This window comes from Homo sapiens, chromosome 3 (genome assembly GCF_000001405.40).
Source record: "Homo sapiens chromosome 3, GRCh38.p14 Primary Assembly".
NCBI classification, from domain to species: Eukaryota; Metazoa; Chordata; class Mammalia; order Primates; family Hominidae; genus Homo; species Homo sapiens.
In genome coordinates this window covers 119,661,864-119,678,750 of record NC_000003.12, presented here as the reverse complement: position 1 = coordinate 119,678,750, position 16,887 = coordinate 119,661,864, and the positions used below count along the sequence as shown (strand labels likewise).

General features: G+C 40.2%; 1 protein-coding gene and 1 long non-coding RNA gene across 6 annotated transcripts, besides 2 other annotated features; one reads left to right on the top strand and one right to left on the bottom strand.

The window, feature by feature from the left end:
• Positions 907-1,166: an enhancer, noted in NCBI's record as "active region_20321". NCBI's record gives its function as "activates an Ori minimal core promoter by ATAC-STARR-seq in GM12878 lymphoblastoid cells {active_cell/tissue: GM12878}" and the evidence as "EXISTENCE:reporter gene assay evidence [ECO:0000049][PMID:35858748]".
• On the top strand, positions 1,345-14,776 carry COX17 (cytochrome c oxidase copper chaperone COX17). Of its 5 annotated transcripts, NR_167772.1 has the most exons (6): positions 1,748-1,889; positions 3,518-3,606; positions 3,963-4,038; positions 11,769-11,832; positions 13,428-13,500; positions 14,069-14,776. NR_167772.1 is itself a non-coding variant. In NM_001382002.1 (4 exons), exons 1-3 carry the CDS (start codon positions 1,441-1,443, stop codon positions 3,600-3,602), a joined length of 297 nt encoding a protein of 98 aa, NP_001368931.1. In that variant the 5' UTR covers positions 1,345-1,440; the 3' UTR covers positions 3,603-3,606; positions 9,086-9,219. The 5 variants fall into 5 exon arrangements, 3 of the variants coding, with proteins under 3 accessions (NP_001368931.1, NP_005685.1, NP_001368932.1); NR_167771.1 differs by lacking the exons at positions 1,748-1,889; positions 3,963-4,038 and adding an exon at positions 1,345-1,547; NM_001382002.1 differs by lacking the exons at positions 3,963-4,038; positions 11,769-11,832; positions 13,428-13,500; positions 14,069-14,776 and adding exons at positions 1,345-1,547; positions 9,086-9,219 and having other exon boundaries at positions 1,785-1,889.
• On the bottom strand, positions 9,134-12,481 carry LOC105374063 (uncharacterized). Its single transcript, XR_924390.3, has 2 exons — positions 12,313-12,481; positions 9,134-10,490 (listed from the first exon to the last, which is right to left on the bottom strand). It is a non-coding gene; the product is annotated as an uncharacterized LOC105374063 (long non-coding RNA).
• Positions 15,858-15,907: an enhancer, noted in NCBI's record as "active region_20320". NCBI's record gives its function as "activates an Ori minimal core promoter by ATAC-STARR-seq in GM12878 lymphoblastoid cells {active_cell/tissue: GM12878}" and the evidence as "EXISTENCE:reporter gene assay evidence [ECO:0000049][PMID:35858748]".

The window sequence follows — 16,887 nt, the reverse complement described above, 5'->3', positions numbered from 1 at the left end:
AGAAGGAAATAAAAATCATCCTTATTGAAAGTTTTCAGATGACAAAATGGGGATGGTCTTAGTAACCTGAAAAATACACATATAGAAATTACTCTTATACAGCACCAGTTCACAGACACGCCTGTAAATTCCCTGAGTTAAATATCTATAATATAGAAACAAACTTTGATTAGGTGATGCTGAAAGTTTAAGTACCTAAAAATACCTATCACCCTGCAGCTATTGAACAGTGCCTCCAAGTCCTGCTTTAAAAAATGATTTTATTGGCCAGGCGCGGTGGCTCATGCCTATAACCTAGCACTTTTGGAGGCTGATGTGGGCGGATCACCTGAGGTCAGAGTTCGAGACCAGCCTGGCCAGCATGGCGAAACCCCGTCTCTACTAAAAAATGCAAAAATTACTCGGGCGTGGTGGTGCACACCTGTAATCCCAGCTACTCAGGAGGCTGAGGCAGGAGAATTGCTTGAACCCAGGAGGTGGAGGTTGCAGTCAGCCAAGATCGTGCCACTTCACTCCAGCCTGGGCGACAGAGCAAGACCCTATCTCCAAAAAATAAAATAAAATAAAATAAAAAAGAGTTTATTGCCTGTTTCCAACAATACTCTGCAGGAAAAAAATCCAATGATTATATCCATTTCATTGCGAATAAGACGGGCACCAGTTTATCTATGTACCTGAGGAAATGCTATGGAAATGGTATTTTTCAATTTTATTCATCAGTATATTAACGAATATATGACTGAATAATTCATACTGAATTCAGATCAGTTGGAGGGGGGCTATAAATGCAAATTAGCTGAGGATTTAATGTGCGTAGGAGGTGTATAGGGGGTTATAGGACCTTTTAAATTCCCCCAATAGTTGTGGACTCGGTGGTTCTATGTCTTGCTATTCATTTTTAAATAGGTCAATGAAAGAGAGGAAAGGCCTGCAGTGTGTGGGGATCAGGAAGAAGGCGGATAAAAGAAAAGGGGGAAACTAGTCTGTTATTCAAGGGAACTGGCTTTCACTTATGGTTTCTCCTGTTTGGCTTGAACAAATCATTTCACCATCTTGGGCTTCCGTTTCGATATTGGGTGGGGAGGAGCGGGTGTTACGAGATCTCTCAGTTGTCTTGCTGCTTTCTTTCTTCGTGAGCCCTCCCCAAGTTGATTTAACAAATACTCTATGACCTAGAGTCCTAGAGTGTAAATACCACAGTCCAGGTGAGCGTTCAGCGGGCCTCCTTGCGCATGCGCTGAAGGGGGCACCCTCTCGTTAAGGCCCGAATTTTGCCTCTTCTGCGCACGCGCTCCTTTTAAATTCCCCACCTGTCAGAGAGAAGCAGGACTTCCTGTACTTTTTAGAGCGACTGCCGGAAGTGACTGCGGACGAATCGGCGTTTGCCGAGGCTGGCATAGATTTGGCTGTCTCCGCTCATAGCTGCTTTTGGCGCGAAAGATGCCGGGTCTGGTTGACTCAAACCCTGCCCCGCCTGAGTCTCAGGAGAAGAAGCCGCTGAAGCCCTGCTGCGCTTGCCCGGAGACCAAGAAGGCGCGCGATGCGTGGTCAGTGCGCAGCCGGAGAGGGCGCGGCCGACGAGCCCCGGGCCGCGGCCTGTGCCTTCCGGTGCCTCTGCCCTACGGCCTCTGCCCTCTGCCTTCTGCCCTCTGCCCTCTGCCTTCTGCCCTCTGCCCTCTTCCTTCCCCCCTTCCCCCACTCCTCCTCCCTGTCTGCCCCCCCCCCCCGCCCCGCCCCGCCCCGCCCCATTGCGGCGCTCTGGAGATAATTATTGGGCCTTGTAGGTTTCGTGGTCGGGTCTCTGTTGACTTATCCCGTAGCTTAGTACCGGGAAACGATGGAGAGAGAGGAGAACGGCAAGCTTCAACCACTCATTCCTTCCTACAAATGTGTGTTGAGTATCTGTTATGGGTTAAGCACTGCGTTAGGTCCGAAGATGTAGACATGGATAAAGATGCATCTTGATATAAAGGAGCTTAAAGTTAATGGAGACATAAACCAGTGACTTGTATACGACGTGGTAAGGGCTATGATAGATTTGTTAAGACCAAACAGGAAAGGTTTTCTGGTAATTTCTAAGGCTTTCTCCCAAAATTTAGAGACAGTAGGACACAGAGTGTATTCCTTACAGTTCTGAAGAGTTACGCTTCAACCCTTTTAAGACAACCAAAAGTTGAAAATCAATCAGTCTACGACGCAGGGGACAAAGTATTAAGAATAGTTCATCTAGATTGTCAATCCACAAAAGATTTGTTCTCATTTTATATAGCCTCTCTTGTGGAGCAAATCTCATTAGAGGACGTCCTCAGATAACGTGAATGTGCATCTCTTCCTCTGGCCCCTTTTGTCTTCCCAGATAGTAGATATAAGAAAGAAATCATTAGTGGTATAATGGGATAATAAGAGTGTAGGAGCTCAGTGCTTTTATTAATCCTCAGTACTTTGTAAATAATACGGGTAGGATTGAAAGACTAGTCTGAACAAATTGTTCCAGTGGTAACAGTAAGTGCTGTTGAACCTTGAATGGTATGACAGCATGATTAAGAGTCTGGGATCCACAGTCAAGGTTTGAATCTTAATCCACTAACTTGGTGACCTTGAGCCTCATGTGTCTGTAAAATGACTCTAATAAAAGAAACTCCCTCCAGTATTATTGTAAAGGTTAATGATACAAGCCATGTCAAGTGGCTAACACAGTATACATGGCAATAAATGATCAATGAATGCTAGCTATTATCTTCACAATGATCTCACTATCCCAGGCAATCTCCCATTTGCAGGCAGCTCTTGAGCTATTGAAGGATGGGTAGAGTTTCCATGGAAGGAGAACCTATTCCCTTTGTTAAATTCCCTTTGCCTCGATTGCCTCAGACCACGTGGGTTCTCCCCAAATATCCATAGTCAGGAGTCAGTTTTTCCTTGTAATTGAATTGGGCTTAACTTGATTATTTGCAAAATCACATTTTCAGGCCTTAGAAATAAAGCTGTGTAGTCCTAGTCTTTACTTTGTGAATTTTACAAGTAAAATATTCTTTGATCATCATGAGGGGGTGTTTATCTCGGTCTCCTGGCTACCAGATGTTTTTGATGTAATTAGAAGTAGATTTATTTGGTTGTGTTTGAATGTAGGGCAAAATCAGAAAGTTAATTTCTCTGTGATAATAAGCAAAAAATTGAGCTGTTCTCTGTGCCCTTCATTTAGCATAAATATTTTACTCAGTTTATTTCTTTATAGAGCAGTGTTACTCCTTGGATATTGACTAGAGGCAATATTTAATATGCGTGATTATTTCTTATCAGATTTCCCCCCCAAAATCACTTATCTGTGGAATGTCTTCATAGGCATGGGCATATCATAAGATCAAATAAAAACAAAGCTGTTTGAGGTAATAGCGTTTGTTTTAATTCCAGCTACATTCCATTATACCCGTGTTTTGTCTCACTCCCCATCACTATCATGCATACTTAATAATGTGCTTAATGCATATTTAGATAACAAGTACATTTTGTTTTATAGTATCATCGAGAAAGGAGAAGAACACTGTGGACATCTAATTGAGGCCCACAAGGAATGCATGAGAGCCCTAGGATTTAAAATATGAAATGGTAAGCTTCTTGCTTCAAAGTTGTGTATTGCTTTACAGATTTAGCAACAATTGGGCTACATTCTCTCTGAAAGGTAGTTCACCTGGTTAATCTAAAATGCTTAAGTATCAATTTGAAAAAACCATGATTTTTCAGTTCCCAATGAAGGGAGTAAATTATGTCAGTAAAGACAGTCATTTAGCGGATTGGGGAAGGGGAGAATTGAGCTTTTAAGAAAGGGTTTGACAAAAGCCTTTAGGTCCCATGGCTTTAGGAAAATTGACTGAGGGAACTAAAAGAAACATATTCTCTTTCTTGTTTCTAATAAATATTGTGGGACTTCAGTAAATGCTTTTTTTTTTTTTTTTTTGAGACAGGGTCTCACTCTGTTACCCAGGCTGGGGTGAAGTGGCCCAATCACAGCTCATTGCAGCCTCAACCTGGGAGGTTCAGGTGATCCTCCCCTCAGCCTCCTAAGTAACTGGGACTACAGGTGTGGGCCACCGTGCCTGGCTAATTTTTTGTGTTGTTTTTTAGAGATGGGGTTTCACCATCTTGCCCAGGCTGGTCTCAACCTCTTGGACTCAGGCAATCCTCCTGCCTTGGTCTCCCAAAGTGCTGGGATTAAGAGGTGTGAGCCACTATGCCTGGCCAAGAAATGCTTTTAAGTAGGGAGTGGGTATCCCACGGAAGTATTGCTTTCTGAAAAATGAAAATGGAATTGTAGCATGCTTTATTCGAATAAAACTAAAGCCTCAGGCCATTTTTTTTTTAATTAAAAAGTAAACTTTAATGTCAAAAATGCAAACTTGGGGAAGACAGAAAAGATCACACACAAGGCTGTCACTTCACACTTGGAAGGTTGCACAGCGGCCGGGCAGAGGTGCTCCTCACTTCCCAGACGTGGGGCAGCCGGGCAGTGGTGCTCTTCACTTCCCAGACAGGGCAGAAGCCGGGCCGAGGCACTCCTCACTTCCCAGACAGTGGGCAGCTGGGCAGAGACGCTCCACACTTCCCAGACGGTGGGGCGGCCAGGCAGAGGCGCTCCTCACATCCCAGACAGGGCGGCAGCTGGGCAGAGGCGCTCCTCACATCCCAGACGGGGCAGCAGCTGGGCAGAGGCGCTCCTCACTTCCCAGACGGGGCAGCAGCCGGGCAGAGGGGCACCTCACTTCCCAGATGGGGTGGTGGCCAGGCGGAGAGGCACCTCACTTCCCAGACGGGGTGGCCGGACAGAGGTACTCCTCACTTCCCAGACAGTGGGCAGCCGGGCAGTGGCACTCCTGACATCCCAGACAGGGCGGTGGGCCTCAGGCCATTTTTAAAAGAACTTGGAACTCTTAACCCATTTTAAGTGCTGAAAGGGACCTTAAGTGGTATGTGTCCAACAATTCCACAAACAAATGATACTCTTTTGTTTGGAAGCTCTTTCTTCAGTTATCAACTTAGCTCACCCCCTCACCCCACTCCCTCTTTACTCAGGTCTCTTTCAAAAGTCTCCTTATTAGAGAGGCTTTCCCTCAACACCCCATGTAAATTACATCCCTTCCCCATCACTCTATCATGGTGCTGTCCTAAGACCTTTCTGTGAAGATGGAAATGCTCTGTATCTGCACTTGCCAGTCTGGTAGCCACTAGCCATATGTGGCTGTTGAGCACTTGAATTGTGGCTGGTGAGAGTGAGGTACTGAATTTTTAGTTTGTAAAAATTTTAATAGCTACATGTGGCTAGTGGCTACTCTATTCTATACACTGTCACCTGCATGATACATATATTTTTAATTACCTGTGTTGCTTCACGGCAGCTAGAATGTAAGCTCTGAGAAAGTAGGAATTTTCTATTTCATTTACTGTCATATCCCCACTACCTATAACAGTGCCTGGCTCATAGTAGGTGCTTAATGGAGGATTGTTAAATGAATGAATAAATAAGGAAATTAAAGCTTATAGTTATGAAATGGCCCCCAAGGTGGGTTGTGCAGTATCAGAACTGGAGCCTCAGTCTCCATGCCGATTCCCTCTGCTTTTTGCCCCTACCCTAACTTCCACACCACACTACCACTTTTAACTTAATAACAGCTGAGAGAGAATGCCAAAGCCATATGCCAATATATTAGTACTAGAGAGCCTGGCTTCTTTCCCTTGCACCTCTTTCCTGCCTCTTTGGAATTTCACATATGGCCAGTCTTCCTCACTGAGCTATAAAAAAGGAGGGATAAGGAACTTGTCGCAAGCTGATAAGAAGTTACTGTGTAATGGAAAACAGTCTAGGCTGAAAGTCCTGAGGCTTTGTTTTTATTCTCCTGATGTTTAGTTTATCATGTTTTTAAGTTTAGCTACATTTAGCTTCATCAAGACATTACTCCTCTGAATTTCACTTATTATTTATAAAAAGAGAACCATAATACATTTTGTGATTCTATATATAGTATGGTATATCTACTGTTGTGTAAATGATATACTTAAGTTGCTTTTAGAATAGATGGTTATTTAAAGAAATCCCATAATGAACTATTTTATAAAATAAGTAAATTTGAAGGGGAGTGTGTTCTTAAAAAGTATGTGTACTTTATTAACTATTTTTAAAGATGCAACCTTAACATTTGTACATGGTTTCCTTGTTCATGATCTAACTCCCTCGTCAGTTGTGTAAGCTGTAGGCTTGTGCTGAACTTGCCTTGATAAAAAGGGGTGATTAAATAAAAAGAAATGCTAATTTTAGGAATATCAAAAGCTTATCTTGGACTTCATCTGAACCACAAAGGTGGTACAATTGTTATAAGTGGCATATATTCAAAAGTATCATATGATATCATAGTTTTCTTTATGTTATCAGGGCAGAGAGTGAGAATTATGTTTGTGTACTTCATTTGTGTGTAAAAGAAAATGCAAAAGCTTTAGACTTAGAAAATCTACTGCTTAACTGATTGTGTGGTCTTGGGCAGGTCCTTAACTTTCTGTACCTTGGTTTCCTCATCCGTAAAATGGAGACAATAATACATGCCCAAACTACTTCATAGAGTTGTGATGATTCAATGTAAAATAAATCATCTGTAAAAACCAGAACAGAATAGCTCATACCTTTAGAGTTGTGGATAGCAGACATTCAGTTGAGGTCTGTTAAGTATATGACTTGATTATTATTGAATCCTGGTTACAAGAAGAACAATCTGAATCCATATAGGACCCTTCTGAGAATTCAAACTGCCATGTTTTTCATTTTCAGTGTAATAATATTTTGGGAAGAGGACTGGGTGTTGGATCCTTATTGGTCCCAGGTGTCCTATTTCCCCAACCTCCATGGGGAAATGGAAGCACAGTGAAGTCAAAAAAGACTTGCTCAAGTTAGGAGTGGATAGTGGTAGAATTAGATTAGAGTTAAGATTTTTATATTCTCTAAATCACAGGCACTTTACACTTCACGCCTTGTACTTAATGAGATTTTATTCCAACATATTCATTTTTAGGATTGCACATAATCTTGATCTTCAATCTTAAAACCTCATTATGAATGCTAATTAGAAAGACTTGTTGCGGAAATGTACAGTTGCATATAACCCAGTAAACAGGCCATTGGCTGGAGGGTGAAATCCAACACAACTGTCTGCATTGCTATAAGATAAACTTAACCTAAATCGGTATTTCTTAGACTGTTAGATCACATTTTTCTGAGAATAGCTTCAAAGGAAAAATATTTTGCAAACTTAGATCTCTCTGGCAACGATCATGAAAGTTCCTTAATTCAAAAACCTTTGTAGATTTTAATGTTATTCCTAAGTAGATCTTAATTGTACCTCAAGTGCAGTAGATTGGGAATAAATCTATTATACATTTTTTATACCTTACCTGAAAGTAGGCTACATTCACCCAGTGGTTCTTACCCAGAGGTGCACCTCAGAATCATCTGAAGAATGTTTTCCAGAATTCACAACTTGGGCCCTGGTCTGCACCTGTTGACTGAGAAACTCCTAGATGATTTTCAAGTGCACTCCTCTTTAACAACCACTGGCCTAAGTTGAAGATGAATAGCAGGGATAATGCTAGGCATAAAGTATCTGAAAATTTAGTAGTAGCAAAGGCAGAGACTTGAAAACTCAAGAAAAAATAGGTATGGTGGTGATTTTAGACAATTTTTTTCTATTTTATGACTGCTGCTTTTACTGAAAAGAGTAATTAGAAGAACCTAGAACCTCATTAGAAATATGAGGAAATAGATGGCTACTATCTTCCTGCCTTTAGGAGACAGAAGAAGCCTAAAGAACCTATTTTGGAGACTAAAGTCGTTGAAAGAAATTAAAGGACTAGTACTGAATAGTGGTGATACTCAATATTAAGTTTAACAACTTAACAGTTGGATGCTTAAAATATGCTGAATTGTACACACACACACACACACACACACACACACACACAAAACTGATCATGTATGAAAATATCCCAAGATAATCCAGAAAGAATAATTTCTGCCATTCAAACATTTGTTCATTCAGCAGATATTTATTAAGACCCTGGAAAATACTGAGGAGAGAAAGATTATCCCTCCAGTCAAAGACTTTACATCCAGAGATATAATCAAACAGGTTTAAATCCAGGGTCTTCCACCACACAGCCCCTTTTGTTATGTAGTCAGTCGCAAAAGTCGTAACAATGCTATGGGCTGCTATAATTGAAAGGTTGAATGGCTTCGTTTTTGGTTATCTTTCCAAACTTTTCTATAAATGTATTCTTCCTTTGAGTCTTTTAGAAAAGAGTTTAGATGTTTGTATCTTGATGTGGTTTATCTTTATTTAAACCAAATGAAGTGAACAGCTAAATGAAGGAAATATTTGCATTAGACTTGAAGAGTTAGCTACCCCAATTTAATTACCTTCCTAGCATTGTTCTCAATCTTCTGGGATAGGCACTGGGAGAGGTGTGAGAAGCCTGGTATTGACTTGACTGGATCAGCAACCCTATCTATGCTACTCTCCCTTTTTGATTTTTCCAAATGAATATTAAAGGGTTGCCCTTGTCTTGCCTTTGGGATTAAGTGAGTAACTTTCCACAGGAAGTGCCTTGGGTACTGAGCTGACCTTCTGCCTTCTACTTTGTGGATCTTCGCCAGGCATACTTGAATCAGCAAAGAGGGGTTTGCAGGTCTTGTTTCTTGAATATCTGTAAAAATAACTGCTTTAGCCTTTTTTGGAGGATATTTTTGAGAAATATGTATTTCTCAAACACACACATATGTATTATATATATATACACGCAGAGAGAGTTTTTACTTCAAAAACTTTTAAAGAGTAAATAATATCATGAATAATTTCACTAATGTTTTTAGTTAGGCAAACCTAGAATTTTAAAATGTTGATTTTGAATTTTATGACTGATTTGGAATAATTCTGGCAATTAGTTAATTACTCATCTGAGGCATTCATTTCTAGTGGTCTTAATTCCCTGACTCCATAGATCTGGCATGATGTTTGAAATCTGACTTTCTAAAATAAATATTTTTCTGTAGGTGGTCTGCTGTGTGAATAAATAATTCCTGAAGAATGAAGAAGATTAATTTTGGGAGTTCTTTGACGAACTTTGATATGTGGAAAAAGTATTTATAATTTATTGTAAGAAGAAAGTAAAATATTACTAGTGGAAGATCTTCAGTTGTGTTTCTTTTTTGTGTTCCTCATTTGCTCACGTGGCTTTTTCCCCCAAAGGATATATACCAACAAATCTTGTAACATAAGGTTCTTATGTTCTTATTACTATGTCATTCTGGGAACTCTGGATATCTGTTGTCAGGAGAAAGCAGATACTGACCTCAACCAATGAAATCTCCAGAATTAGGTGCATAGAAGTAAAATAACCCTTTACCAATTCAGAATCAGTGTGGTAGCCATATCATCTCATTCAACACTCTTTTTTTTTTTTTTTTTAACTTTCTTAAAGGTAAGAACAAGCCTTTAGTCTTATTATTTAAACCATTATTGTTATTCTTTACTAGCTGTCTTTTGGAAAAGTTAGTTTAGATTTTGGACCAGATTAGGGTAATTTGGCTTAGAAGATCTCAACTGTTTGGCATTATGAATCTGTACATGGGTAGTTACATTTTAAAATAGACTAGGATCTTAAGTTTCGTGCCTACAGGGTAGACAGTTGTCTCTTATTAATTAGAAACTAATTAGAAATTAGAATTAATTAGAAATTAATTAGGCTAGAGACTGAATTGGTATTAAATGTCACTAATCAAACAGCTCAGTGCTATGCCATGGTGATGCCTGGAGTTGAACAGAGTGTGATTTCCTTAGTATAGCAACCTTGTCATCCTCGTAGCTGCTGATGGGCTAATGAAGTATGATCATATTCTGCTTGTAAGTACATTGAGTCTAAAATCTCAAGAACAAAAGATACTGAGAACATAATTAAGAGGATGTATAATGTTCATGTATCATTGTGTGATGGGAAAAGTCCCTCCTTTATAAAATAAGGAGCTGAATCAGATGATTCCTTAAGATTCTTTCCTAATTCATTAAGAGCATGGCTTTGATGTATGACAGACTTAGGTTCAATAGCTGGCTATGTGACCTCAAGCAAGGCATAGCTTCTTTGGGTCTGTTTTTCTCAGCTGAAAAAAAAAAAAAGGTATAGAAGTAATACCTAACTTACGAGATTGTCAGTACTAATTAAAAATGATGTATACACAGTATTTAGCACTGTTATTAGCATTCTCTATTATTTTATTGTTTATATTTTTACTTGAATATTCATTTGGATATAATACTTTTAGTAAGCACTTCATGATTTACAGAGATAATCTAGGTGAAGAATAGAATCTTGGACAATTAAGACAGGTATGAACCAACTTCCCACCCAATACAGATCTTTGGCAGGTGGTTATCCAAACTCTGCTTGAATATGTCCTGGAACTGCAAAAAAGAAAACAAAAAAATCGATAACCTTATCACCCATTGTTAATTTCTGATATATACTAGTCTAGACTTTTCCTATGCCTTTATACATTTTTTAAAACAAAATAAAATTTTTTTTCTATGCTACATATTTTTAATGAGGTTATAACATTATCATGTTTTGCCCCTAAGGTATTTTACCATCAGTGAGTATAGGTCTGTGGTGTCATTTGTATTGACTATGTATAAATTCATCTGTGACTTAACCATAATTTAACCAATACCCTATTTTTTCTTTTTGCGCATTTGGACATTCATTCATTAAACAAATACTTCATATAGAGTGCCTTCTGTATGTCAGATGCCGTTCTAGGAATTGGGTCTCAGTCTGGAACAGGATATATGTCAGATAACCTAAATTCCGAATTTTTGTTTGTTTTATTTTGTTGGTTGGTTTAATGGAAACATAATAAGGAAGAAATCTGAAATCCCATCAGTCTACAATAGGACCTCTCTTCGATGACATTCTCACCTCTGTCTCTCTCTCTCTGTGTGTGTGTGTGTGTGTGTGTGTGTGTGTGTGTGTGTGTACACCTTTTACTTTCTTTTTTTTTTTTTGGCTACTCTGATAACACTGCAATAGAAGTCTCCTTATGGAAAGTCTTTACAAGTGTCCTTTACTAATCACTTCAGCTAAGGATGGGCCAGAGGCCATGCGTGTTTTCAAGGCTTTGAGTGAGGACTGCCCCCAAGTGATCTCTAGAAAAAATATATCCATTTACACCTTAGTGTCTGAGAGCACTGATTAATCTCTGAGCAACACAATTTTTTTAAACTTTTGCCAGTTTGGTATGCTTGCCTGATTTGTAAGGGAACTGAAAGCACCCTTTTTGGCCTCTGCAACACTTAAAAGTACATCTCACAAGACCCTCTGCCCACCCTTTCCTAGTGCTTAAGTCTTCCCAAAGATGAGGTACAGCATTTCGGTAATAATGAAAAGAGATATCACCACAGTCACTTGAAAAGTGAAGAACTTGGCCTCCTAGTGGGTAACAACCACATTCTAATGCACCTCTTTGCTAAGCCCTTGCTCTTCACAATAATGACAACTCAATACGGATATATTCACACTATTCTCTCTAGTCCCCCGTTTGTCTAACCTTGAAATGTTTGACTTGAAGGTTGATGAAAACAGGATCATATCCTTAAGTAAGGCCTATCTTGGGAATACTATGTCTTTCATAGGTCTAATATGACCTATGATGTGATGGAAAAACCATGGTCCTTATTTTACAGGTGAGTATAGGTGCTTGGAGAGGATAAGGAAATCACCCTGATCCAATAGCTGGTAACCTGCGAGGTAAGTTGAAGCCCGGTGTTCTTTGGTGTACTAGTTATCCAGTATAAACATCATGTATTTGTAGTTATAAATTCACTTAATGCATACTTAGTGAAGGTCTATTATTTGCAGGGAACAGCCCTAGTGTTGATAATTCATGTGTGAATCAGACACGTTTTTCAAGATGAGAGGCTATTTGATTCATCACTTACTGAGGACATACTATATGCCAACTATACAGAGTAGTAAAGAGTAGTAAGACATAGACTCTACCCTCAAAGAGCTTATAGTCTAGTGGATATATGTATATAAACCGTAGAAATATAAAGTTGAATGCTCAGTGGTATGGTGGATATTCCAAGATGCTTTCCTAAACAGTGCATGTGTGATTATGCCCAGCGTTTATTTCTTTAGGTATTAAAAACTGCTAGATATTCCATCTATGTCAATTATGGTGCTTTTGATAGCAAGTAATAGAAAATCCTCATAAGGAAAACTCACATAGCTGGAAGTCCAGTTAGAGTCAGCTCTAGATGTGATGATATCATAGGGTCACTGATTTCATCCAAGACTCAAGTTATTTTCATCTCAGCTTTCTCGTCCAGGACTGATGAAGCCCGTCATGTGCTTGCTTGTTAAAGTCCAGCGGAAGAGAGAGAAACCATTCCCTGGGCATGGACTCTTAGTCCCCTTTTTAAAGGTCTGATTGAGCCAAATTAGGTTATATGTATTTTTATGGACCAGTAATAGTTATCAACAGAATACCTTATGCTGATTGGCTTACACAAGATCCGCCCCCTTCATCCCACCCCTGCTTAGATCCATGTGCAGGTTTGATATCTGGACAAAACAAATTCCGTCACAATTGAGGAAGAGGTAAATGGATATTGAATAGACAACCAGATTTCCACTACACCATCTTGTTCACCTAACAGGTCACCCTGAACAGTCAAATTGAGTTTATGGAGGAATTCCTCTCATAGTTTGCTCAAACTTTAGAAAGAAAATTATTGGTAGAGCAAAATAATTCTGATGTTCAGTTTTTATAGAATGTGACAATTAGCAGATGTTCAGAGAACTGTTCCCTGAAGAGTTGTCCTTAGTGAGATCTGAATTAGGATGCTTTCAACTGGAAGCAGTAGAATACCCAACTACACTGACACAAGCAATACAGAAAAGTAATTTACCTCCCTGTTAGGAAGTTTGGAAATTAAAAGCTCCTGGTTTGAGATAGTGGCTCAGTGGTGCTTTCAAGAACTTAGTCTTGGCTGGGTGTGGTGGCTCATGCCTGTAATCCCAGCACTTTGGGAGACTGAGGCCAGAGGATTGCTTGAATCCTGGAGTTCAAGACTGGCCTGGGCAACATAGTGAGAACCTGTCTCTACAGAAAATAAAAACATTAGCTCGGCATGGTGGTACATGCCTGTAGTTCAGTTACTTGGGAGGCTGGGGTGAGAAGATCGCTTGAACCCAGAGGACTGAGGCTGCAGTGAGCCGTGATTGTGCCGCTGCATTCCAGCCTGGCTGACAGAGCAAGGCCCTGTCTTAAAAAAGCAAGCAAACAAAAAAACCTAGGCTTGTTCTATTTTTCTGCTCTTTACCCTTCTCATCCTTAGGCATATCCTATCTCATGACTATGGTAACTTCAAGCATTACATCGTCACGCAACTATTCAAGCCTGGATGAAAGGTAGGCCTGCTATCTACCAGGGAGTATACTTTTTCCCAGAAGCTCCCCCACGTACTTCCTCTTACATCTCATTGCTCACAGGTCTACTTTTGTGCCAGTCGCTATCAAGGGGAATGAGATATTGTGCTTGGCTTCAACCAATCTTAGTTCAGGCTCTGGCAACTTGGGGAAAAGCCCACCTTCCTTAACATATTACCCAAGCAAAATTAGATTTGCATAAACTGAAGAAAAAGGGGAAATGGCTATGGAAGACAACCAATAGTGTCTGCTTAAGTTCAACTTGACACTATGTGTCCAGAGCATAAAATTATGCCTCTGTTCTATTTTAGTATCTATACTAGGAAAGTGTTAACCCCAAGCTCAGTGTTTCTCAAACTGTATGTGGTGAAGAACCAGCTTTTTTCCCCTCAATTCATCACAGACCCAACACTAGGAAAATGAAATAAACCCATATAGATTTAAAAATATGCTATACAAACCCAGAATTTTTGTTAGTTCAAAGGCCATAGTTTCTCTGTGAAATTGCTATAAAAAATGTCTAAAGTCACAATTTCTGTCCTTACCCCAGCATGAACCAGCATGGACAAGTAACAAACAGTTTGAAGACCAGGCTGAGTTCATGACCACACTTGTTGACTCTGGTGACTTCATAAGATGGCCCCCGCCTGCCTCGCCTGCCTCTTGTCTGCTGCTCCTTTTGATTCACCTACAACAAGCTGTTCTCTGTTACCAGAATATGCCACGTATTTTGTTTTACTTCTGGGACTGACTTTACAATCTGTTCTTTCTTCCTGGAATGCCCTCCTCTAGCTGGGGAAAACCTACTCATCTTTTTAGACCAGATTAAAAGTCACCTTCCCTGTGATGTTTTCTCGTGGAAAAAAATATTTTTTTAAGAGACAGTGGTCTCACTATGTTGCCTAGGCTGGTCTCAAACTCCTGGGCACAAGTGATCCTCCCATCTCAGCCTCCCAGAATACTAGGATTATAGACATAAGCCATCACGCCCCCAACCTCATGAATTTTAGTTAGGTTATAGCAGTATAGTAAAAGTCCCTATGGATTGAATTATTTGCTCCCTCATAAGTGTTTTTTCTTTGAATCCTAAGTACACTTATTTTATTGGATTACAGTTTCTGAGTCAGTATCCGGGATAGACTGAAAGTTTCTTGAAGTGATAATTGTCTTATTCATCTTTATATCCCCTGTTCTTGGAACACATAGTCTGTCCTGAATAAATGCCTATTGAATTGAATCAGCTCAACAAATGAGAAAACTTATGTTTCTTTCCTTTTTTCTTTCCCAGTTGTTTTTTATTGTGTTCTGCCTTCATGTTTGTGTATTTCCTTATAAGAACATACCATTTTGACAGACAATACATTTTTTCTTTCCTTTTCTATCAAATCTGGACTTACACAAGACACAACTTTTCATTGTTGTGTTCTGATCACAGGTCCTATCCTGTGGGCATCAATGTCACTATTACTGCAGGCCACTATTACTGCAGTGTAATGTCACTATTACATGCACCCATGATTCTCTGACACGTATGCCACCCTGGCAATGTACTCAAATTTCCAGCAGCAATAGATGAGCTTGTATATGCACACATGTAAACTCCCAAAAGTACCTGGTAGGATGTTATTAATATACTGTAGAGAATATACAATTCAGAGACACACTGACCTAGGCTTTAATCCTTATTCACATACTGACTAGCTTTGTGACCTTGGGCAAGTTCCTTAGCCTCTCTGAGCCTGCTGCTTCTATTAAAACAAAAAATAGGTATAGTAAGATAACATAAAACAATAGCTGCTTGATAAATGTTAGTCCCCTCTGCTGAGATAGCACATATGTGGATTGACAGGAAAGCAGGCTGAGTGCAGTCTGGACAGCAGGACAAGTGAACCATAGAGTTAATGGGTCTGCCTGTCTCTTTAATGGGTCAGGGCCAACCTATTTGGCAGGTCTCCTAAGAAAGATGAGCTGCTTTGAAATTGTATCTTGGGCAGAGCTTTGGTTGCTTCTTCATTTCTATGCTTCTGACTTCCCTGCTTACAGCTGGCAGGGACAGCTACTCTGGAAGCTCAGGGGCTGCATGTCTGTGATAGAAGGATGAGCAGCTGCTGCTTGTTAAAGTAGGGGGGTTGTTTGGGAGGCAGGCAAGTGATGTAAAAACAGTATATGGAAATCCCCAAACCCCACTGTTAAAATGATGTCAGGGGTCCAAATCATGTCCATGGAGTGACCTCAGTGACATTTCTTCTCCAAATACTCTAGCTCTTTACTGATTTTTTTCCTCTTAACTTAGAAAGGAGGAAATAAGGTATATATTTGTTGGTCAGATGATTTTAATGAGGTTAAGAAAAAACTGGCTTCCTTCAACATGCCATGCATTTTCATGCCTCTGTGCCCGTGCTTCTGCTGTTCTCACCACTAGAAATGCTGTTCTCCCCACTAGAAATGCTATTCTCCCTCTACCTGCCTGGTGAATTCAACCCCTAAACCTCAAATTAGAGGCCAGCCCTTCTTTGCATCTTCCCTCCCTGATGCCACCCTTCCTTCTAGGCTGCCACCATCCTTCAAAGTTAACTTGGTTGTTGTGCTTCACATACTGAACTGCCTTTGTTTTTTGAGGTCTCTTTACCCTAACAGGGTGAAAGTTTCTCTTGAGGATCTTTGATGCCCAAGGGCTTAGCTCATAAAAGGCACTCAATAAATATTTGTTGAGTGAAAACATCTCCTTCTCACCATATTTGACAATTTTGAATTTCTCATAAATTTTCATCAAGTTATAGCAGTATAGTAAAAGTCCTTATGAATTGAGTCCTTGATTAGTTCTGGGAGGTTACTGAGCACCCCGCCTGTACTTCAGGGGCGATAGGAGTAATGGGAGTAAGTGCTAACCCAGCAGCAGGGAGGAAGAATCAAGGAGTCATTTGGAATCCAGAGAGTCACATTTCTTTTTCTTTCTTTCTTTCTTTCTTTCTTTCTTTCTTTCTTTCTTTCTTTCTTTCTTTCTTTCTTTCTTTCTTTCTTTCCTTCCTTCCTTCCTTCCTTCCTTCCTTCTTTCCTTCTTTCTTCTCCTTCCTTTTTTTTTTTTTTTTGACAGAATCTTGCTCTGTCACCCAGGCTAGAATGCAGTGGCACAATTTTGGCTCACCACAGCCTCTGACTCCCAGGTTCAAGAGATTCTTGTGCCTCAGCCTCCCCAGTAGCTGAGACTACAGGTGCCCGCCACCACGCCCAGCTAATTTTTATACTTTTAGTAGAGACAGGGTTTCCACCATGTTGGCCAGGCTGGTCTCGAACTCCAGCCTCACTCAGGTGATCCACCCGCCTCAGCCTCCCAAAGTGCTGCGATTATAGGCGTAAGCCACTGTGCCC